The sequence below is a fragment of the Homo sapiens genome, chromosome 7 (assembly GCF_000001405.40).
Source record: "Homo sapiens chromosome 7, GRCh38.p14 Primary Assembly".
NCBI lineage: Eukaryota > Metazoa > Chordata > Mammalia > Primates > Hominidae > Homo > Homo sapiens.
In genome coordinates, this window is record NC_000007.14 from 16303528 (window position 1) to 16328792 (window position 25265).

A 25265-nucleotide genomic window follows, 5' to 3' on the forward strand; every position below is an offset into this window, starting at 1 on the left:
ACTATCTCCAATAATTTAAGGTGACACATAAAGTTCTCCCATCTTTCCCTTCACAATAAATAGGCAAAACTTACATTTCAAAGATAATAGAATGTTTATTAGGTATAGATTTTTCAGAACTTATTTCCTTACCAATCATATACATATAGAAAATATTCTTTTCTGGATACCTATATAAAATGCTGGATAACTATATAAAAATATCTGAAGAGAAACAATGTCACCATATTGTGTTTTTGAAATTACAAAAACCAAATAGAGACTACTTTGTTTCTTTTGTTTTTAAACAGATGCTGAAATACTTGGACCTTAAAAAAATGTATTCCCCAACAAAAGGAATCCTCAAAAGTCATTCATTCCAATAATATTGTGATTACACAAAAACTTCAGAAACTCCTAAAAAAGCACATTCAGACAACGGAACACAGTGGTTAAATTTCTTCAGTAACTGGTTATCAATCTTGTATGGCTTGAAGATGGTTTTGACATTTAGAAACAAGATGTCTGTTCAATTAAGCCTGTACAGTGTAGTAAGAGACCAAGTTAATTAAAAGTAAATGGGGTCACAAATATGGTACAACTCTAAATTAAAGGGACTCAAGTTGTTATGCAGACTAGATGAAATCTCATCAAAATAAGAGGGTTTACTTGGGCCTGTCAAAGCAAGACTACTCCAGGAAAGCATGACAGCTGATCCCTACTCCCAGAACCAGTTCTGTACTCCTCAGTGCTTATCGCCCTGGTGGGGGTAGTGGGGTACCGTGGCCATTTTCTACCCTGCATGGTGTGTTGAAAGAAAAAAAAAACTGATATTATCTCCAGACCCCAGAAGAGCTAGCACAGGAAGGTGACATCAAGCCAGAATGTTTACCTTTTACTTTTACCAAAACGTATTTATAAAATACAAAATACAGACCAGCCTGGCCAACATAGTGACACCCCGTCTCTACTAAAAATACAAAAATCAGCCGTGCATGGTGGCAGGCACCTATAGTCCTAGCTATTTGGGAGGCTAAGGCAGGAGAATCACTTGAACCCAGGAGGCAGAGGTTGCAGTGAGCTGAGATCTTGCCACTGCACTCCAGCCTGGGTGACAGAGCAAGACTCCATCTCAAAAAAATTAATTAATTAAAGAAAATAAAATACAAAATAATCCTCCTAGGATTTCTGGTGGCAACTGAAATTCTACTACTGAAATTCTAGTACTACGTGCAGTCCTCAGAAATTTCAAGTCAGTCTTTAAACCAATGTGAAGTGAACTCCCTGACTTTTCAGGGGAAAGGGAAGGTGTATTGTTCCATGTTTCAGGATCTTCCTTCGCCTTACACTGTTACATGGTAATAAAATGCCTCAATTATGTCCAAATATGTCTTTTACTGTCAGATTTTTGAATCATGTTTCAAGTACATGGCCATGCCATCTGAGTCCAGTACCAGTTTAGCATAATTGTACTAGAACTTTTCAGATACATTTTTTTTTAAAAGGCAGCATCTTTGGAGTTAGTGTAGAATTAGGACACTAATTTCAAAGCATAAACTCCATTGTTGTGTAAAACAAATACTCTCATCATACAAAATAAGATCACAAAATTAAAGTAAAAGCCTAATGACAAATCTTACAATGTTATCAAAAGGGGTTAAATAATTAGCTATGAAAATACCAAAAAAAGAAGTCAAAGATGAGACAAGAGGCAGAAAGAGAAAATAGGGACCCTGAAAACAACAGCAATATTTGCATTCTAGCATCACCTCAGTTAACAGGGAAAAAAATGTGATACCAAAAAACAAACAAACAAAAAACGCTTATAACGTCTATCTGTAAGACATTTTCCCCAATCCAGAGCACGACAGGACTTTTAGGGTCCAAGCTCCCTTTGAAGCATGGCATTATTCAAATCTCATTCATAAGAGTAGAGCTCTCTACTTCCATTCCATGTGGAAAGTGATGCTATGATGCTGATTTCTAGTGGGGGGATCGCCCTTTCAGCATGTGTTTCCCAGGACTGCTACAGTGAATTACTACAAACTGGCAGACTTCAAACAACAGAAATTTGGCTGGGCGTGGTGGTGGTGGGTCACGCCTGTAATCCCAGCACTTTGGGAGGCCAAGACGGGCAGATCACAAAGTCAGGAGATCAAGACCATCCTGGCCAACATGGTGAAACCCCGTCTCTACTAAAAATACAAAAATTAGCTGAGTGTGGTGGCAAGCGCCTGTGGTGGCAAGCACCTGTAGTCCCAGCTACTCGGGAGACTGAGGCGGGAGAATTGCTTGAACCAGGGAGTCGGAGGTTGCAGTGAGCCAAGATTGTGCCACTGCACTCCAACCTGATGACAGAGCAAGACTCCGTCAAAAACAAACAAACAAAAAAATTTATATTCTCTCACAGTCTGGAGACTAGACATCCGAAATCAAGATACAAGTAGGACCCTCTGAAAGCTTTTGGGAAGAATTCTTTCCAGCCTCTTCCTAGCTTCTGGTGATGGCTGGCAACCCCTGCCATTCCTTGGCTTGCAGATGTGTCACTCCAATATCCACCTCCATCATCACATGGCCTTCTCCCTGTATCTGTGTCTCTTCTATTCTTGTACAGATATTAGTCATATTAGCTTTAGGGCCTACCCTATTCCAGCAGGACCTCGTCTTCACTTGATTACATCTGCAAAGACACTATTTCCAAATAAGGTCACATTCACAGGTGCCACGGATTAGGACTTGAACATACTTTTTTAGAGGACAGTTGAACCCACAACAATGTCCCTAAAAAGGGACTCACCAGTGGAACCAAGAGAAGCACTGTGTGGAAAGGCCAATCAGGTTAGCGTGCACTGATATTTGTTGCACATAAAAGGGGAGCAGAGCATCAAGATGTACCTGAGGACTAACACTCTTGCTGGAGAGAACAGAGAAATATAAACACCTCACCAAAAAGGAAACACTGAAGATGGAATGTAACATTCAGAGAGTAATGTGCTGCTTCCTTTTCATCCACAGATCTCAAGAGTGCTTTACAAACTTGATGAGGGCTCAGAACATGCAAAAGAGGTAAATAATCACAGCTCCAAAGATGTCAAAAGTGAGACCAGGGATTATTGACATGTCAGTAGCAATAAAACGCCTTAGAGTTTCCGCCTTTTTTCTTGGTCTTCAAATTAGGTCTGCCAGACAGCCAAAGGAGTTCTAAAGAAATGTGGGTCAGGACCTTTAATGAAACATCTAACTGGTAATTGCCAAAAATCCTCATAAATATCACTGAGCCATATATAGAAAAGGATGAATAAAATGTTTGCCTGCTGGGTTGATGATAGTTAACCCAGCAGAGGCAGACATTTTAGGTTGTCCTTAAATGAAGAGTAATATTGCATAAAATTTCTTTACCGCATAAATTTTCTCTACCAGGCAATACTTCAAACATGTCAATATTTTGGAGTCTTAGAATTCAACATTTTAAGTATTTAAGATTATCCTGAGACAATCTTAGCATGCAGTGAGGCTGATCATGTTACTGTGCAAAATAACTGATCAACTTACAGGGCTTTCTGTTTTAAAAATCAGTAAGGAAATATGCTTATAGACTCAATTAGAATGAATCTTTACTAATCAGATTTTGATGGATGTTTCATAAAGATTTCCAAAGACTGCAAGCAATATTTCAAAAGCAGCAATATGTATTTCAAGATTATGAAATAATCTTATTTCCAAATGTACTTATTTCTGATTTCCAGACTCCTATTTCCAAATGTCCTGTTCAATTCAACTAATGAAACAAAGAATCACACTCTAAACCATCCCTGGCCTTGATAAGAAGCTGCAGTATGATAGTGCCATTATCTTGTTTGCAATAAGTATTCTATTCCCTCCAAAAGAGGTTAGGCCAGGTGTGGTGGCTCACACCTGTAATCCCAGCACTTTGGGAGGCTGAGGCAGGCAGATAGCCTGAGGTCAGGAGTTCAAGACTAGGCTGGCCAACATGGTGAAACCCCGTCTCTACTAAAAATACAAAAATTAGCCGGGTGGTGGTAGGCACCTGTGATCCCAGCTACTTGGGAGGCTGGGACAGGAGAATTGCTTGAAATTTGGAGGTGGAGGTTACAATGAGACTGCACCATTGCCCTCCAGCCTGGGCCAGAAGAGTGAAACTCTGTCAAAAAAAAAAAAAAAAAAAAAAAAAAAGAAGCAAGTTAGCCATTAAAAGAACTGGGCCCTGCCACAGGAAACAGTCTAATTCCTCACAGTGGGACAGAAAGTGGATCCAGCTACCACCCCCACTGGGTTGGAACTGTTGCAGATATCCTTTTAACCCAGTTAAGTTGGAGCAACCACCCAGGGCCTGAAAGGAAATGTTGATACTGCAGGCAAAGTTGTAGCTTTAATCAAACTGAGTGAAGAAAAAAAAAAAAAAAAAAGGCTATTGATATGGTTTGGATCTGTGTCCCTGCCCAAATCTCATGGGGAATTGTAAGCTCTAACCATGGAGGTGAGACCTGGTGGGAGGTGACTGGATCGTGGGGGCAGATTTCCGCCTTGGAGCTGTTCTCCAAGTGAGTGAGGTCTCGAAGTGTCTCACTCCTCCTTTGCTTTCTGCCATAATTGGAAGCCTCCTGAGGCCTCTCCAGAAGCAGAAGCCACTATGCTTCCTATGCAGCCTGCAGAACCATGAGCCAATTAAACCTCATTCCTTTATAAATTACCAAGTCTCAGGTATTTCTTTATATTAGTGTGAGAACAGACTAATAAAGCTATCTACAGAGAGGAAGAAAAAGAAAAAAGTGAATAAACCAATCTCACAGGTTAAAATGAGATGTGTCTGAGTAAATTATCTCAAAGTGAATTTTCTTGAAGCCAAGCAATAGAAGGGATACTACACATTGATGGTTCAGTAAACCCGTGAGACTCCCTTAACTCCTACTCAATGCACTACTGGTTTTAAATGTACACACACGCAAACACATGAAAGCACAGAAAAGAACCCAAGCAAGGTATCATCCCTCTTACCTTCCAGAGGTCAGGTGATCCTTCTACAAGTTTGGCTTTAGTGCAACAGTATTTTAGGGCCAATTGCAAACACTCAGTTCCAAATTCCAAGTCATAGTCACTACACTGGTGTGGAAACAACAACAACAACAATTAAGCTAAAATGCGATTTTAAGTAAAACCAAGCCTTTTATTTCATAATCCATTGCAAACAAAGGAAGGGCCTAGGGGGCTCAAACTATTTAATCAGCTACTGACTGAGTTATAACATCCCCATTAGCTAAAAGCAAAACAGGGAATAGGAATACTGCAACCATCACGTGAAGCAAAACAAATAGTGAATAGGAATAGTGCAATCATATGAGTTTTGAGATTCCTCAGTAGTTCTAGGCGTAAAAAAATGTAATACTTTGTTTCCTTTGCTTATAAGTTACCTTTCCAAACATGTTTATAAAATGCCTGAAGGTATGGCTGAGGATTATCATATCTTAACTGTTGATAAATATATATCTACAAAATCTAAATCTCATATCTTGTATTTATATCAGGACATTTGCAGGTCATAGTTCTCTTGTTTTAGTAATTAAAATATCAATATATCTTTTAATTATTTACATTTTGTTTATAAACATGGAAAATTTAGTCTTTCATTGTGCGAAAAACTGTAAACATATCTCATAAATTCAGTAAAAATAAAACATTTTTTGGCATTTTAAGCAGAGCCACTAAAATAACCAAGTAATAATACAATTCAGCTGAACAGTACTCAGGGTACCTATCCTGTCTCCAAGTTCTATTTTAAGTACCAGATATATAAAGGTAAATGACACATGTATTATGCCCTCAAGGAACTCAGGTCTAGAAGGGGAGGCTGGCATCTAACAAGCAGTTTGTAACAGAACCTGATAGATGCAGCACTAGAAGAATGTCTAGAGGTAGCTCAGTGGATAAAACACTTAATTCTATGTGACGGCATCAGGAAGGCCTATCAGAGGAAATGGCTTGATCTCCAACAGCAGAATAAAATTGAACAAGGAGGATTATGTTTAAATCAAAAGGTGCTTTGCAAAGTTACGGAGGTTTGAGACATTTGGTAGACTAATTTTTTTTCTTCTTTTTTTTTTGAGACAGAGTTCTTGCTCTGTCTCCCAGACTGGAGCCACCATGCCCAGCTGAGACTTATTTTAGAAAGCATATCCATGTAAGGATTGCACAAGGCAACAAATATGAATATGGCATCAAGCACCCCTTGCCAAAGCTATTTTATTATCCTTACATGGAAGCTACTGAAAGAATATAAAACCTCTGGGACCCACAGTCACAAAAGGAGTTCATAAACATGTGCAGTCTCCTCTCTTGTGATCTCCTATTGGGTGCCCATAACTAATATTATTTGAAGGAGATTCTCATTAGATGTATATTCTAAATTCAAGTCAATCGCTAAATAAAATTAAGTTTAAAAAATCAATAGTGGTGATAAAATGAAATCATAAAACATAGTATATTAATCCAAAGGCCAACAGAAAAGTGAGAAAAAGAACCAAGAACAGGTGGAACAAATACAAAGCAAGTAGCAAGATGATTTTAGACAAGAAAGTTAATGAACGAGAGAGGGTATTGCACAAAATGTTTTGACACTTGTGATTCACCATGGGGGGGTTATAGTTATAATGATATCATTGATCACATGAGAAACACACACGCAAACAGACAGACACTGAAAACCATCTGCCTCCCTAGACTTGGCCCCCCGAAAACAGTGTCTAACAGCCTTCTGCCAAGGCAAAAGCCCTAAGGACACTTATCAGAGATCCCCCAAAAAGCAAGGTCCAGCCCAGTTATGCTATAGAGAAACACACAGTCAACACGCCCCAAGTAGAAAACTCACCAAGTCTAACCAGTCCCCAGCTAAACATGAGCAGAAAACCCATATTTAACTGTCACCCAAGGAAAGATTGTAATGTGAAAGATCAAAATGGCAAAAATAAAGCACTCGAGAAAATCGAAACTGCAATTTTTTAAAAACTATTAATAGATCTAGGAAGATAAAGAATTTTAAATCAGGTGACGGGGTAATATTTAAAAAGGCAGAAAAGGAAAGAGTCGTGTGACTCATCGACAAAGTCAAATACCCAAATAAAAATATTGAAATTTCAGGAAAAACAGAAAAAGATAGACGAAAACAACCAAATAATTCAGATATTCCAAAGATGAACAACATTGAATTTCCAGATTAAGAGAAATTATAGAGTATGGAAGCTAAGGGGTGAAAGTATGCCAAGCCCACTTAACGAAAACTATCTTACAAACAAGATGTAATCCAAATGAGTTGGGACTTCATAGAAACAATACAACTTAGAACAAAGAAGCAAATTAATCACAATTCTTGGGGTAATGATTTTAAACATAGAATTCTACTCCCAGGAGAGCTATCAAGTTTGAGGGCAGAATATGAACTTTTCCTCACATTCAAAGTATCAAAAGAATTTTATTATCCATGCATTGTTTTCTTTCCTACACTTTTTAAGACTTTAAATATTAGGTTCATAGCAAAATGGAGCAAAAGGCAAAGATTTCCATATACCCTCAAGCTCCCACATATACACGACCTCTCCTACTATTGAAACCTTGTAAACATAGTGGTATGTGTATTAGCATCAATAAACCTACATTGACACATCATTATCATTCAAAGCCCGTAGTTTAATTACGACCCATGCATTGTATTATACATTCTATGAGTTTTCACAAATGTACAATGATATACGTCCATCACTGTAGTTATTGTACAGAGTAGTTTCACACGACAGTGAAATTTATCTGTGTACTATCTATACATACCTCCGGCCCCCACAACCCCTTGCAACCACTCATCCTTTTAATGCCTCCATAATTTGTCTTTTCCAGAAATAAATAGCTGTAATCATAGAATATTTAGCTGTTTTACATTGTATTCTCTCACACCAAAATATGCATTTAATTTCCCTTTTGGTGACTTTATAGCTAATTTCTTTTTAGGAGTGAATAATATTTCATCATCTTGATGTACCACAGTTTGTTTATCCCCTCATCTAAGCTATTTATGTTGGTTCCAGTTTTGGCAATTATGACTAAAGCTGCTATAAACATTCACGTGCAGGGTTTTAATGTGGACATAACTCATTTGGGTCTTATGGTAAGAGTATGTTTTGTAAGATGCTGCCAAACTGTCTTCTAAAGTGACTGTCACTTTGCATTTGCATTTTAAGTTTTACATTTAGGTCTGATCCATTTTGAGTTAATGGTTGTGACAGGTTGAAAGTGTGTGCCTAGATTTATTTTTGGCATGTGGTTGTCTAGTTGTTCCAACAACATTTGGTTGAAAAGACAGCAAATCTTTGCTATATTGTATATTGCCTTTGCTTTTCTGCCAAAGACCAATTGATTACATTTATGTGATTCTGTTTCTGGGGTCTTTATTTCATTCCATAGATCCATTTATCTATTCTTTAAGCCAGCACCACACAGCCACAATTCCTGCAACTTTATACTAACTCTTAAAGTCAGGTAGTGTCAGTCCTCCAACTTTATTCTTTGCTTTCAATATTGTGTTAGCTATTCTAGGTCTTGTGCCTCTTCAGATAAACTTTAGAATAAGTTTGTCAATACTCCAAAATAGCTTGCTGAAATTTTGATTGGGATTGCATCAAATTTGTAGATCACGTTGGGGAGAAATTACATCTTGACAACTTTGAGTCTTCTTATCCACAAACATGGGACACCTCTCCATTTATGTAGTTCTTTGAAGTCTTTCAGAGTTTTGCAGTTTTCCTCAAAAAAGGTTTTGTACATTTTGTTAGATTTATGCCCAAGTATCATTTTGGGGGTTGCTAACGTAAAGAGTAATATATTTCTATTTTCAAATTACACATGTTCATGCTGGTACAAACGAAAGCAATGGGCTTTTATTCCCTCGTAGCCTGCAACTTTTCTAATACTGTCCCTTAATTCCATAACTTCTGTCAATGCTTTCAGATTTCCCATACAGACAATCATGTCATCTGTGAAAAATTATTTCTTCCTTCCCAATCACAATACTTAGTTCATTTCCTTCTCTTATTAGCTGGAAATTCCAGGCCAATATTGAAAAAGAGCACTGAGGAGGCACATCCTTGCCTTGTTCTTGACCTTACCAGGAAAGCTCTTGATTTTCTCACCATTAATAATGTTAGCTGCAGGTGTTCTGTGGATATTTTTTTAAATCAAGAAAGATCTCTATTTCTCGTTTTCTGAAATGTATCATAAATGAGTGTTGTATTTTGTCAAATGCTTTTTCTCTATCCATTAATATGATTATATGATTTTTCTCTTTCTGCCTATTGATGTGATGAAATACATTAGATTTTGAAAGTTGAACCAGTCTTGTGTATCTGAGATAAATCCCAGTCAGTTGTGGGGTTTTGCTTTTGTACATTGTTGAATTCAGCTTGGTGATATTTTGATAAGGACCATGACATCTCTACAATGATGAGAGAGATTGATCATAGTTTCCTTGTAACACCTTTTTTGTATGGTTTATTGAATTAGGGTAATTCTAGCATCACAGAATGAGTTAAGGAAGTATTCCCTTTGCTTCTATCTTCTGGAAAAACTATAGAGTTAGTATAATTTCTTCCTTAAAAGTTTGGTAGAAATTACCAGTGAACCCACCTAAGTCTAGTACTTCATATATTAGGTGGTTAATTATTGACTCAATTTGTTTAACAGATGTTGCCTTATTAAGATTTCCTAGTTCTTCCTGTATGATTTTGGGCTATTGTGTCTTTCAATGAACTGGTCCATTTCACCTAAGTTACTAAGTTTTTAGGCACAGAGTTGCTCATTATACTCCTTTATTATCCTTTTAATGTTCATGGGATCTATAATAATGTCCGTGCTTTCATTTCTGTATTAATTTGTATATTCTTTCTTAGCCTGGCTGATTTATTTTATCTTGTCAAAGAACCAGATTTTGGTCTGGTAGATTTTTCTCTACTGACTTCCTATTATCAATTTCATCTATTTCTGCTCCAATTTTTATTTGCTTTCTTCTGCTTAATCTGCTGTTCTTTTTCTAGTTTCCTAAAATGGAAGCCTACATGACTGATTTTAGGTCTTTCTTTTTTAACATATGCATTCAATGCTATCGTTTTTCCTGTAAGCACTGTCCCTGCTGCATTCCAAAATTTTGATGCGTTCCATTTTATTTCGTTCAAAATATAGTTCTGAGATTTCTTTTTTATGTGTGTTATTTAAGAGTATGTTGTTTAGTCTACAAGTATTTTTGGATTTTCCAGGTACCTTTGTTATTGATTTCTAGTTTAATTTCATTGAAGTCTGAGAGTAGGCCTTGTGTTATTTCTGTTCTTTTAACTTTGTTAAGGTGTGTTTTATGGCCCAGAAAGTGGTCTATCTTGTTGAATGTTCCATATGAGCATGAGAATAATGTGTAATCTGCTGTTTGTGAATGAAGTAACTAGATGTCAATTTTACTCAGTTGATTTATAGTGTTACTGGGGTCAAGTATGTCTTTAACCAAGTTTCTGCCTGTGGATCTGCCCATTTCTGACAGAGGGGTGTTGAAGTCTCCAAGTATAATAATGGATTTACCTATCTCTTCTTGCAATTCTATTAGTTTTTGCCTCACATATAAGGATGGTCTGTTGTTAGATGTGTACACATTAAGCACTGTTTTATATCCTTGGAAGATTGACCCTTCTATCATTATGTAATGCCCCTTTAGTAAATGTCCTAGATTTTGCAATATACTTTTACAACTAATCTGTGACCACTTTCCAATAATGGTGTGCCACTTGGTGAATAGGGCAAGTGTCTTATAAAATAATCCTAATTACTCCCTCCCATCCCTTAGGTCATTGTCATTCATTTCACTATGTAAGCACACAATCAGATACATCGTTGCTATTATTGTTTTGAACAAAGTTACCTGTTAGATTCAGAAAAATAAATTTTACCTTCACTGCCTCCTCAACTGAAGTTTTTCCTTTATGTAGATCCATGTTTCTGACCTATATAAATTTCTGGAGAAGATTTTGAACATTTTTTTACAAGGCAGGTCTACTGGCAAAAAATTTCCATTTTTGTTTGTCTGCTAAAGTCCATTCCTTCTTTACTTTTGAAAAATAATTTTGCTGGGAACAGAATTCTAGGGTGGTAGGTTTCTTCATGCAAACATTCTTTAAATATTTTATTTTCTTCCTGCCTGCATGGCTACTGAAGAGAAGTGAGATGTAATTCTATGGGTAAGGTGTTTATCTTTTCAGTATATTTTTCTTGTCTTTTGCTTTTGTGTAGCTTGAGTATAATATGCTTAGGTGTAGTTTATTTGGAATTTATACAGTCTGGTATTCCTGAAGCTTCCTGGATCTTTGGTTGGTTTCTAACATTGATTTGGAGAAATTTCCAGTCATTGTTACTTCAAATACTGCTTCCATTCCTTTCTTCTTCTGGTATGCTCATTATATGTGTGTTATGTGTTTTACAGTTGCCCATGATTCTTGGATATTCTGTTATTTCCTCCATCTTTTTCTCTTTGCTTTTCAGTTTTGCAAATTTCTATGAAGATATATACTCAAGCTGAGATAGTCTTTCCTCATTCATGTCTAGTCTACCGATAAGGCATCAAAGGGATTCTTCATTTTTATGATAGTGTTTCTGATCTCCAGCATTTCTTTTTGGTTCTTTCCATTTCCATCTCTCTGCTTACACTGCCTACATCTGTTCTTGTTGCTATCTACTTTAACCATGAGAGTCCTTGTCATATTAATCATAGTTGTTTTAAATTCCCAGTTGGGTAATTTCAATGTTGCCATATCTGGGTCTGGTTCTTATGCTCACTATTTCTTATACTTCGTAAATTTTCCTTGATAGCTGGACATGATTACTGGGTAAAAGAAACCAAGGTAAATCGGACTTGTACTTTCACTTTCTCAGTTCTCTGCCTCTCCCCAGAGGATGACTAGAGTGGTATGGAGTTGAGTGGGAAAGGATGGAGTTGGGTAAGGACAATAGTTTAGGCCTTTATAAGACAATTTTTGAGGGTGGGCCTCCTCGTTAAGAGCAGAATGCTCTAGCATTTTTCAGAATGGTTGTTTCCCTTCCTCCATAGGAAGCACAATAAGATTTTTCTCCAGTACCCATTTTAAGAACCTGGTCAAGCTCCTGGAAGTAAAACTCATAAGACTGTGGGGGCTCCCCTTTGACTGGGTCCTCCTGAAGCTAACTCACACTTGTCTATACTGAGTCTCTAGCAATTCTTCAATTATAATGTAGGTTTTCCTACCCTGTCACTATTTCCCAAGGAGATTTCTGCTCTGGTAAATTGTGATTTTCTGTAGTCACCTGTCTGTCTCTCCAGTTTTGAGGACAGCAATTTGCCCTGTGTCCTCACCCCTCTGAAAGATATGAAAAGTTTATTTTTCAATTGTTCAATATTTTACTTGTTAGGAAGGAGTAACAACTCCTAAGCTCCCTACATGCCATGCAGGAAACCAGAAGTCCCCCATGCACTCTTTTTCAGGAAACTATAGTAGGACATGGTAATCTATAAAATTGAGAGAGATAAAATGAGAAAATGACACAGGATACAGATATTCTATACAGAAGAGGAACAAAGGGAGTTGCTAGGACAGTGGTGAAGAAAAACCTCAAGATGATAGCTGTGCAGGTGGCAGAATAAGAAGCCAGGTAGGAGGGGTTAAGAATGAACAAAATCTCTCTGGAAGGTCTCAGAAAAAATGAGTTATCTCTGGGAGACAGAAGAGGACAGGGCTGGCATGAAGACTTTATTTTTGTACCCTTTGCCATGTACACACTATTCTTTTATTACTTCTTGCCCAAAAAAGTTATATTGTCATGTTATGTAATGTTTAAATTATATGTCTTATGTAGTAAAACATGTTATATTCCTGAAAAACATGCTTATGAGTTATGGTTTTGTTCCTGAACATATATATGGTTTTGTTCCTGAACATATAGATTTAATCAGTCTCATGTTCTGGTGGTATTTAAGTTACAGATCATTTAAAATTTAAACAACTGGCCAGATGTGGTGTTTCATGCCTGTAATCTCAGTACTTTGAGAGGCCAAGGTGGGACCATCGCTTGAGGCCAGGAGTTCAAGACCAGCCTGGGCAACAAAGCGATTCTCTACAAAAAAGGTAAAATATTAGTCATGTGTTGGGGTGCGTTCCTGTAGTCCAAGCTACTCAGAAGGCTGAGCCAGGAGAATCACTTGAGCCCGGGAGTTCGAGGCTGCAGTGAACCACAATCACACCTCTGCATTCCAACCTGGGCAATGCAGAGTGAGACACCATCTCTAATAGAAAAATATTAAGTTATTTAAAAATCTAAACACCCGATTGTAAAAATAATACCTATGTATTATTGCTATATTATAAAATTTTAGATCTGGCTACCATCGTGATAAACACAGGGTATTCGTTTTCTTACATGCCAATCAGCTTAGTTTTTTCTAATAGTAATTTAAAGCAATGTATAAACTGTACATTACAACTCATAATATGTCCTTGAATAGGATTTGCTTCATAAAAGTGTACATGCATTCTCATGAATATGAGGCACCATTACCAATTGATTAAGAGCATGGACACAGAAGTCAAATAGACTTGGGTTCCAACCATGGTGTTGCCATGTAACAAGTTGTCAGACTCTGGACAAGCTATTCAATCTGCCTCTCAGCTTCTTCCACATTGGGGAATGGAAGATAAAAGTTATTATAAAAAAACAAACATAACAGCACATCTGATGTACCTGGTATAGTGTCTAGCTTATGACAAGTTCTTGATAAAATCTAAATAATCATTGGTTATAAATGTAAATTGTTAACCCTAAAAATTGAGGTTTAAATGTTACCAGATGCTAATCAGTAACATCTGATGGTTGTGTAGAGGCATTCTACTTTCTCTGCAGGGAGATTGAGGGTTGCTCTGACAATATGCATCATCTTCTCCTTCTGCTTTTTCTTATATCTAATGTCCATTTAGAAAAAGGGTAGATTCATTCATGTTGTTAAAAATAGTGGGATTTATTTCTTTTGTGGCTAAGTAACATTCCAGTGGGTGCACATGTGATCACATTCTATCTATTCATCAATGGACACAGGGTTTTTTCCATATCTCGACTACTGTGAACAATGCATCAATGATGTTTCAATGAATATGGGAGTGAGGTGCTTATTTCATTTCCTTGGGACACATCCAGAAGTGAAATTGCTAAATTATATGTGAGTTCTATTTTCAATTGTTTGAGGAACCTCTGCATTGCTTGCTTTAATGGCTATACCAATTTATATCCCCACCAACAGAGTATCAAAGTTCTCTTTTGTCCATACCCTCACCAACATTTGTTATTTCTCTAGTCTTTTTGATAATAATCATTCTAACAATTGTGAGATGACCCTTGTCTTCACTTGAACAACTGGTTTATGTAATCAACCTGGAAACTTGGCTTTACTTCTCTCATGGCTCCTCTGGAATTTTCATTGTCAACACAGTCTCTAACTGGAAGCTCCATCCGTCATCTCTCTTACTTTCTCCTAACCTAGCCCTTTTACCTCACTGAGGCATCCAACCCCGTGAAACCTCCAATTGCTCTTGGTTAGAAAACCTATTTTCTTAGACTACTCTTATCAACAAGGAGACTATGGTTAATGGCATGAATAATTTTATTAGTAGCACCCCAACTCTCTTGTCCATCCATTAGATCTTCTTTACAAACCCTAATCTCAAAATCACGTAATCTGTTTTACTATCTTAACTTTTAGCTTATGCTTTTATCAGTCACACATGCACATGGTTTAAAGACCCAAATATCTCTACAAGGTCAGTTATGAAAAAAAGTCCAACCCACTCCCTTCACTCCACTTTGTCCTCCCTGTAGGCAATCATTGTTCATATTTAACTATTCTTATATTTTTCTCCATATGTAACAATTTTTGCTGAGTAACAAATATGTACAAAAAAACCTCAGTGGCATGTAGCAATAAATTTTCACTTCTCACTCACACAGTTGTATCATGGCTGAGGTAACTCTGCTCCAAGCTACAGGGCTGTGAGAGCTCTGCTCCTTGGGTTTACTCTGCAGCTCAGACTGGAGGGGCAGCAACCAACCAGACCATGCCTTCCTTAAGGCAATAAAAGTAGCAAAAGAGGGCAAGTCCAACAGCACAAGCACACATTTGGCCCTCCACCTATATCAATCACATCTGGTAAAAATCTCACTTCCAAAGCAAGTCAGGCAAGCAAATCAAGGAGAAGGGAAACAAACTTAATTCACCAGGAGGCCACTGCAAGGGCACAAAAGTAGAATACTATTGCTGAGGACTGAAGAATTGAGACTAATAATTTACCTTTCATTCTGTATCTCTAAATTACATTCTTGTGATGCTGTCTCTCGACTTTTCCATCTTGGCTATCATCCACAGAAGACTTTTGTCCTTCTTCCCAACTTCATCTCAATATACCCTAACACTTCCCATTCCCCACCCTTTCAATATCATAATTTTGGTTAAATCAGTATTGAGTGTTTAAATCAGTGGCTATGTAAACACAACTCATAGCTGAGTCATATATTATTAAAATTTGTTTCCTATACAACTCTGTTGCCCTGGAATTATAGCTTATCTTTTGTTTTATGTGGTTTTCTGTATGCTTATGACTCATTCAATGCCAAACACTTAGCTATTCATTTAAATCTACTCTCAAGATGTTCAGACACAAGGTATTGCACCAATTTTATATTCCTGAAAAGGTCACCCTTGAAGTCCTCTGATCTTTTCCAACAGACTTGTTGTCTTCTCTGCCAGTCATTCAGCCATCATCCTAGGAACTCCCTACATCACCGTCTTGGAAAGAGTCTTCATCTCTCTCCCAACATGGATCCCCTAGCTTCTGTATCCCGTGCAGTCTGCTTCCTTGATCGACTCATTTTGCAACTCTGATTTTGGAGGGTTAGAACAAATTCTCCAATAGCTTTCTGTAGAGTGATTGGGTTAAGGTGTTTATGGGTACCTCTGAGGTTAGTATTTTTAGGTCTTTCTTCCTACACTGGACAGACTGCCCAAAGAAAATTCTTCTAGTCTCCAGTCTGGAAAAAAAAGCCAAGCCACGAAGATAGCAGCTGGCTGAGTGGGAGAAGCAGCCATGGGCTTTCCTATTCGGCAGTCAGTAGGCATATGGTTGTTAGTCACTGTTTCTGGCAACACACTCAGTCCTTCTACAGCATCCTATGTTCTCCCGGTATAGACAGAGAACTTCATCACCACCTGCCTCTGCTAGGGTGGTCATAGATTAGGAAAGGAGATTTAGAGATCAGACTGCTTAAACAGTTTTCAGCCAACCCTCCTTATTTTGTCCCCCTTCATTCCGTTCCAGAGGTACCTGGTGCTGCTAGGTCCTGGACTTTGAGAATTCTACAGCAAACAGTTTTAATTCCTAGCTTGCCCCAACTATTTGCTTGTAATTTGGCCTTCTCCAAGCTGCATCTGTTAGTACTAATTCACTTGTTTTCCAGCTATTCTTCATTTGTCATTGTCACCTCTCCTATTCTTTTGAGGATTTGTCATTTTTAATCCCTTTCTAGTAGCTTTAATGAGGTTTGAGTTATGAGCAAAATTAGGTAACTGCTCAGTTTGCTATCTCTACCCAGAAACAAGAGAGAAACAAGATAATGTGCATTCTAATTAGATAAATATTCCAAATTGTCTTCCATAAAAGTGGTTTCAATTTATGTTTGCATAAACAATGTATGAGAATATGGCAGGGTTATTAACATGAGGTAAATGAATATGACTCAGAGGGACTGGAAAACTTCTGAAAAAATAATGTATATATAATGCAATTATTTTTCTGAGAAGGGATTCTACAACTTTCAGAGGTTTTATAACAAAAAAAAGTTAGAAACCGTTGTTTTATGGTAACCACATAATGGTCCACGGCTACAGATAATCTGATTACCTATCCTTCCAGCCTTAACATCATTCACAGTATTATTTCTGCTAGGCAGCCTGGGAAGTTTGCCCAACCAAGAACAATATATACATTAGAGTAAAACTAAATCAAAGGTATGCATGCACAGGTTTCTCACTCTGCAGTTATAGCCCCATGCTCACAATGTTTCAAGTAGAAACAAAATAGACAATCTTACAACTAGGTAAACAATGAACACCTGCATCCGATTTATCACCTAAAACTCAAACTTAAGCATTTTGCATATATTTACATTGTTTGAATTATGCAATGTATTTTGGGATTTCATGAGAGACAGTTATCCAAGCAGCTTTGTTCTCATATCAGTCATTTTATGAGTAAATAAACAATTTCAGACTAAGTCCATATGAGGCTGATAATATAGCTACAACCATCACTCTTCCAGAAACAGTATGAATGATCTGGCTAAGGATAAGATTTCTTCTTTGAGTAAAATTATTTAAATGGGCAGAGACAATTATATTCACGAGAAGTTTTCAAATGCCTATCAGTGGGGAAAAAAATAAGCTTATCAGTTTATTCAAATTTTTCTAGCCCCACCTAACCAAAAATCCATTACAAACTTAGAGGCAACACCACCCATATCTATCAAACACTGCCTAGATAATTCTTTTTCAGAGTCCAAATAATTGGGGGAAAGAAGTAATACAGGAAACAATGTTATCAGTAACCCTATAACTGTCTTTTTAGACATTTCTACTGACCTTCATATCAAACTATTAAAAGCTAAGAATCTCCCTAAAATGCTTTACCCTATCATAACTTATTTGATAAACTCATCAAAAGTGAGACAACAAAAGAAGAAATTAAAATATTTCCCTAACACACGAATTATTAACCTTATATGACAACACTGAGTAGATATATCACATGTGACATATCTAACCCCAATGTAAATAACTTAGGGAAAAAAAATCAAAACTATCACCATTCAACCCCAAAGGAAAGGTGTGGTTTATATTCATACAAGGAGAACCATTACAATGCTGTTGGCCATAATCTCACTAACAGGTTATGAGAATCTGAAATAAGTCCAAGAAATATAGGGAAGGGAGGGCCCAGATCCAGAAATTGTTTTATTAGCAACAGGACTGGTGACATCATTACTCAAGTTGGATGATGTAGCAGAAAGAGTAGGTCTGTTGGTTAGTTGGAGGAACCAATTGGATTTAAGTTACCCATAGGACAACCACTAAAAGTATTCATAGGCAGTTAAAAATATATGCCCAGTATGTATTGGAGAAACATGAAAAAGAATAACTGGAAAACTGAGGAACGTCTATCCTTTTCCGAAGAAAATATTTATGGAAAATTTGCCAGGCAATATACTAAGTCCTGAGAAAGATGGTGAGGCTTAGGAAAAACCATACAAGCAAATGAAATAAAAGGCACTGTAAAAGAAAAAACAAAGTACTGCTGGCCAACAGAAGAAACTAAAAGAGACAAGAACATTCTACTCTGGAGCCAGAAAGATCCTAGCCCTGATGACACCTCAATTTTGGACTTTTAGCCTCCAAAATGCGAGATAATACATTCCTGATTTTAAGTCACTCAATTTTGAAATCTTTTTACAATAGCCCTAGGAAACTAATATATTACCCCTCAAAAATGAACACAAAATACCAAATCTAATATACGTAATATTGGCTTTGGAAGCTGGCACCAGGAGGCAAAGAAATAAAAGCGGAAGGGAAACCGTTGTTATGTAGTGGCACAACTTTGGAAGGGCCTGTGATGACTTAGAAGATAATTTAATCAATTTACTAACTTGGGCAAGATAGCTTTCAGAAAGAAGCCTGAAAGCATGAACTGGCATCTTTAAGGTGAATATGTTAAGGTACCACACAAATGAGAAGGCCTAAGAACTGGCCAGTTTGTAAACAAATTTGAAAGGAATTTGAGCCCAGAATATGACAGCCTAGAAAAACAGAACTCTAATCTCCCATTTTCGCCAAAAACAATTCTCAAAATAAGAAAATCCTGAGGGTGTAGATGAAATCCAGGGCTCTGGAGGCCAATTCCAGGAAGCAGAGAACTGGGACTTAACTAAGGAATAATCACTATTTTTAGGGTAAGGAAACCTGACAACATTTGTTGAGCAGGATTTCAAAATTTCTACAGACCAGTGATTGGTATTTGCTTCCTATTCTTACCCCATTTGAGGGAGAGTATTCAATGTGATTATTCCATATAAGTTCCACAACCGTATATTGGGTATATAGTGAACAGTGTATCAGTCCGTTCTCATGCTGCTATGAAGAAATACCCGAGACTTGGGAATTTATAAGGAAAAGACGTTTAATTGACTCACAGTTCCACATCACTGGGGAGGCCTCAGGAAACTTACAATTATGGCAGAAGGTACCCCTTCACAGAGTGGCAGGAGAGAGAATGAGAGCAAGCTGGGGAAATGCCAGATGCTCATAAAACCATCATATCTCATGAGACTCACTCACTATCATGAGAACAGCATGGGGGAACCGACCCTATGATCTAATTACTTCCACCTGGTACCGGCCTTGATACATGGAGATTATGGAGATTACAACTCAAGATGAGATTTTTGGGTGGGGACATAGCCAAACCATACGAAATAGAAAACTTCATTTTTAATTCACAAGTCTCCAGATAAAGAGATGCTGAGCATGATGGTGTGACTAGATGAGAATTTAAGGGGTCCTGGGATATTATGCAGCATATTTAATGTCAAAGGGATATGACCTAACTCTATACACTTGCCCTTATCTATAACCTTTGCCAGGTAACTTTACATTTTTCCCTACTAAGGGGTAAAATAAATTTCCCCACCCCTTGATTTTAGGTTTGGTCATATGATTGTCAATAGAATGAGGAAGAAGTGACAGTATACCAGTTGCAAATCTAGGCTCTAAGAGGCCTTGTATGTTTCTATTCTTGTACCTCTGCTATCTCCATGAGAAGAACATGGTTGGATAATCTGCTGGTCAAAGAAGGATGAAAACAAACTAAAGCAGAGCCATCCTGCCAAGTCCGTTTATTGCCAAGTCCACTCCAAATCAGAGAACCTCAGCTAATCCACAGAGGCATGAACATAATTTGTCAGTAAGCCACTATCTTTTTGTATATTTTATTACATACCTTTTGTGTAACAAGAGCAAACTGATATAATTGCTTAAGAAGATGTTTAAGATTAGCCAAAAATGAGAAAGCATAATGAACAATCCATAGTAAATTAATGCAATCAACAAAAGTAAAAAACTACAGATACAGGAAATAGAAATCAATCTCAAACATTGTGCAAAAAAAAGCACATCACACAAATATATTACCAGTGTTATTCTATTCATAAACACATTCGAAACTAAGCAGCTTTGAAAGCACCTACATACGTGGTAAAACTGTAGAGAAAAGCAAAGAAATTAACAGAAAATTAAGGACAGCAAATAGGAAGGAAGGCAACACAATCAGTAACACGGATGCAAATAGGAGGAAGCAGAGAAGATGTCCATGCACTGGCGACGTTCTATCTTGTGAGATGGATCATGACCACAAAATGAAACACCTCTTATTTGTCTTTAAATCAGTTGACCAAATGGATAGGATACATGCTGAAGAATGTGTTATTGCACACATACACACAAAAGCCTTCCTGACAGGGAATGGACTAAGGCCTTCATGTCCCTCCCTCACTGGCTGAGAGCTAAGATGTGGTCCCCTAGTCAAGATGAACTCCATATTACAGACAGCTGCAGACTGGTGAGCCACTGTTTAAAGGTAATAGGTCAGGATGGTCTGACGACACTAGAAAACAAACCTCCTCAGCATCAAGAAGTTGAGATCATTTCATTTGTTTTCAACAACTACAAAAAATGGGTAACCACACAGCCTAATGAACCAGTTTGCTGTTTCTCTAAACATTCTGTCGATTCTAACATGGGCCAGCAGAGAATGTAATTGGCAAACACCAACTCCTCTGGCCCATCACACCTGACTTTGGGCACTGGCCTTTGATGCAGTTAGACCTCAGCAACAACACACTGTATTCAAGGGCCACTACTTTGGCCCTTGCCACCTTGAAGGCACCTCTAGTACAGATGGAGGGAAATAAATTGTACATTACCATCAACAAGGTCTGGAGACTACACTCTTTAAATCACTAACATCATTATCTGCTCATGACATAACAACACAACTATAAAAGGCACTGACAAAAATGAGATGAAACCAGAATTATCTCAATAGTGAAGATACCCAAAACATGGAGTCTGCAATCTTTGACTAAATTTATCCACTTTTGCTCCCATACTTGGAACATCAAATGAGATAATGTACTTGTAATGTTTTACAGTTGACTATACTACAGATATTGAGTACTCGCCCTGTCCTCATCCTTTTTTAAGGAAATGTCTAGATGACAATTCCTGCTAAGGATGGTGCAGCCTTGTTTCTTGTCATTCCCTGCCTGCCACTCACCTCCACTTCTGCTAATTCGGCTACTGATGTAGACTTATTCTGAAAGCAGCAAACTTTTTGCTTCTGTTGAATTCATAAACACATTTCAAAACTAAGCACTGACCCATCAGATAATCAATGACTTATAATCTGGATGAACTGGTTGGCAAAGATGACTAAATCATGTTCCATCTGCAAGAAATTTGAACTACAACATAAAGAATTCACAAGTTGAGAAAGGAAGTCAAACCTTAAATGCTATGTACTCCTTCTTTGAGCTGGAGAACGATGGAAACTAAAGCAGAAATTACACGGAAACAAACCATAGATTAGACAGATTAAGCAGTTGGGAAAATTAAAAATAGATTTGTCATAAGGAAGGAAAAAGCCTAGAAATAACTCAGGTCTCAGCAACTTGCCAGTTGCCAATTATATTTTTCCAATAACATGTCTTTCTTCAAAATGGAGTCTCTTTTCCTTGCAAACACAAGAGCTACTCAGGAAGATTCCATGGATATTGGACTGTTTCAGGAACAATAAGAACTATCAGAGGCAATCATCTCAAAACACTCCTGAAAGAGTGATGACTATATAACTTTGACAGCATCACTGACAACCATTTGTAAATGTGCCAAAGTACCAAAAAACCTTTTCCAAGACAAAACAAGGAATTATCAGAATGAAAGTTTGTATGTATACCATTTAGATATTCCATTCACAGGACATTTAAAATCTCCATAATGGCTCATCATCTGCTTGAACTGTGATGGAATCTTGTGATATGCATAATGGTCTTAAGATACCCTATGAAACAAAGGATTTGATTTTTAACATTAAAGTGCACTGATACAATGGAATCCACCACCACACAACTAACATCAACAGGAATGATATTTATTCACTTTAGAATAGCATCTTGGTTATATGTAGTAAAATTGGCAACACAATAAAGGGATAAGCTATCCAAGAACTACTGTTAAAAACAACCATCATGCATAACAATCATGGTCTAGTAATACGCTTTATTAAAAAAGATTAGAATGTTTTAACATATGTAAATATGCTTTAAGTAAGAAAATCTCAAAAAAAAAAAAAAAGCTCAGTGACAGTACTAAGGCTGAAACATAGGACACCTATCTACCTCCAACTCCAAGTCCTCTGAAAGAGCTATATATTCCCTCCCTGGATAATAAATATTTCCTCAGTGTTGACATTTATTCCTTGGTATTTAATGTAAGCAAAAGCATATTCTCTCCCAAAGGATTATCATGATATTAAACAGACATCTAACAGACACAAGCCTAGATCAAATACAAAGACAGGGGAAAAAATAAAACCCAGCTTGCTGATTAGCTTTCACTGTGATGATATCAAGGCTAGGAAACATATGTAGATATTGAAGGAGGAAATCCCTCTTAAAGTAGATGTCATGGAATAAAATAGATCATCTGTCCTACAAAGCCAGTCAAAGAGCTCTGTTCCTCTAGAGAATCCTCCTGTGAGCAGAGGATTTAATAACCATCAAGTTCATTATGAGCTAAAATTATCTTAATTTGTAGGCACTGGGACCACAACAAAAACTGAAGCAATATTCCTGGAAAAAAGTGATGAAGTTGATGTTAAATAACTTTTTAAAAATTCTGTGTATATTATGTTCTGAAGTTAAAGAGATTCAGTACCTATCTACTACTAGTTCTTGCCAAATCCTATAGCATTTGTTAAGTAGTTGTGTGACTCTCTTTTTCGCCAATAACTATAATCCTTGTGAAAGATCTCAGGATGATTACACTAGAGACCAAATGTTCTCTCTTCATCATCCAAATGTATAGCAAAAAGGTACAACAAACTTCCTTCCCTGATATAATTCCAAATTGGACCAATTTGGGAGCAATTTTGTCAAGAGCCTAAATACTATCAAATCACAAAAATGCTATTTGTATTTTCACTAGCCAGTACTCCTTTTCTGGCTGTCCTGATGCAATGTATAAGAAAAAAGTAGGAGATTGGGTCTTACCATCTTTCCATGTTAGAACAGTGAAAATTAGTGTCTGGAGTAAGACATGCTAGCTCGTTTTTGCCACAACTTAACTTTTTGTTCTATTTTTCCCCAGGAGAGTAAAAATATTTCATAGGATCTTTACCAACACCTGCCTCAAACAAACAGTTCTTTTGCTTTCTCTTTTCTCAAGAATGGAGATATCTTCAACTCACTCCAGGTAAAACTGATTATCTTCAAGTAGAACTCAACCTTAAAAAAAGCTAAGGAACATGGCTGGCCCTCACCCTTTGTTCAACATGCATCCTGTGCAGACAGGTAAAGAGTAAATCCAAGGCCGGGCGCGGTGGCTCACGCCTGTAATCCCAGCACTTTGGGAGGCCGAGGCGGGTGGATCATGAGGTCAGGAGATCGAGACCATCCTGGCTAACAAGGTGAAACCCCGTCTCTACTAAAAATACAAAAAAATTAGCCGGGCGCGGTGGCGGGCGCCTGTAGTCCCAGCTACTCTGGAGGCTGAGGCAGGAGAATGGCGTGAACCTGGGAAGCGGAGCTCGCAGTGAGCCGAGATTGCGCCACTGCAGTCCGCAGTCCGGCCTGGGCGACAGAGCGAGACTCCGTCTCAAAAAAAAAAAAAAAAAAAAAAAAAAAAGAGTAAATCCAAGACCACAACTGTCAAGGAGATACACATGCTCTTCCCAGGGTAAGATATTCCTACATTCATACATTCAATTTATTAAAAATGTTCAAATTAAACTGTGGCTTTTATCTTAAAATTGATGCTTATTAAGAAAACCTATCAATATAGGCACTGAAGGGGGAAGGAGCTCCTTGCTTTAGTAATAAAGGGGCAACATGCAACACATACTCCTTCTGCTTGCTTTGCATGGAAGTGGAAATACACATCTGATCTAGGTGTGTCCCCAACACCAACTTGCTACAAAAAGCTAGAACATAGTCACCACCACATATTGTCTTTGCCCAAAGCTAAGAAAAACCCTCCATGATTTTACTTTCTCACTTCTCCATGAAATGCAGATGAGATTTCCTGTTTTTGTTTCTCCTTTCATCATATCTAATGCTTTTAAAATCTACATATGTATTTCACTTTATACTAGGTGACATTAATGAACCACATGTCCATTTATTACGGAATCTTTAGGGAGATAACATCTTCTGATTTGTCCAGGATACTTAAGTCTTTTTATTTTCATGGTTTCTCCTCCTGTAGTTTGTTGTTTTATTTTTTTATTTTATTCAGTCTTCTGAAAAAGTCGAGAATCTTGCCTTTGTGCCCAAATGATTTATATACCTGGACGTTTCATTACGCAAAAATTCTAATAACTAAGCACACAATCTAAGTAGTTAACTACATTCTAAAACTACCAGTCTTGCTTTCAATTTTCTGTATATGAAAAGCACTATATAAGCACTAAAATTATGTTAAATCATAATATTGTTAGAAATAAATTAATAAATGGTTGCTTTCTTTAAAAGAACCACAGATAAATAGCTATCTCCAGGGTTTTTGGGGGGTTTGTTTTGTTCTGTTTTTCTGAGACAGAGTCTCACTCTGTCACCCAGGCAGGAGTGCAGTGGTGTGATCTTGGCTCACTGCAACCTCCGCCTCCCAGGTTCAAGCGATTCTCCTGCCTCAGCCTCCCAAGTAGCTGGGATTACAGGCACATGCCACCACGCCCGGTTAATTTTTGTATTTTTAGTAGACATGGGGTTTCACCATGTTGGCCAGGCTGGTCTTGAACTCCTGACCTCAGGTGATCCACCCGCCTCAGCCTCCCAAAGTGCTGGGATTACAA

General features: G+C 37.5%; 1 protein-coding gene across 4 annotated transcripts in view; it reads right to left on the bottom strand.

Moving 5' to 3' along the window:
- The window catches only part of CRPPA (CDP-L-ribitol pyrophosphorylase A), a 334014-nt gene that overhangs the window by 216003 nt on the left and 92746 nt on the right, over positions 1-25265 (bottom strand). For 2 of the 4 annotated variants that reach the window (NM_001101417.4, NM_001101426.4), the window contains one exon: positions 4996-5100. The exons of the other annotated variants lie outside the window; for them this stretch is intronic. In NM_001101417.4, coding sequence (NP_001094887.1) covers positions 4996-5100 — 105 coding nt within the window. The remainder of the gene's footprint in view (positions 1-4995; positions 5101-25265) is intronic. 4 annotated transcript variants of the gene reach the window in all.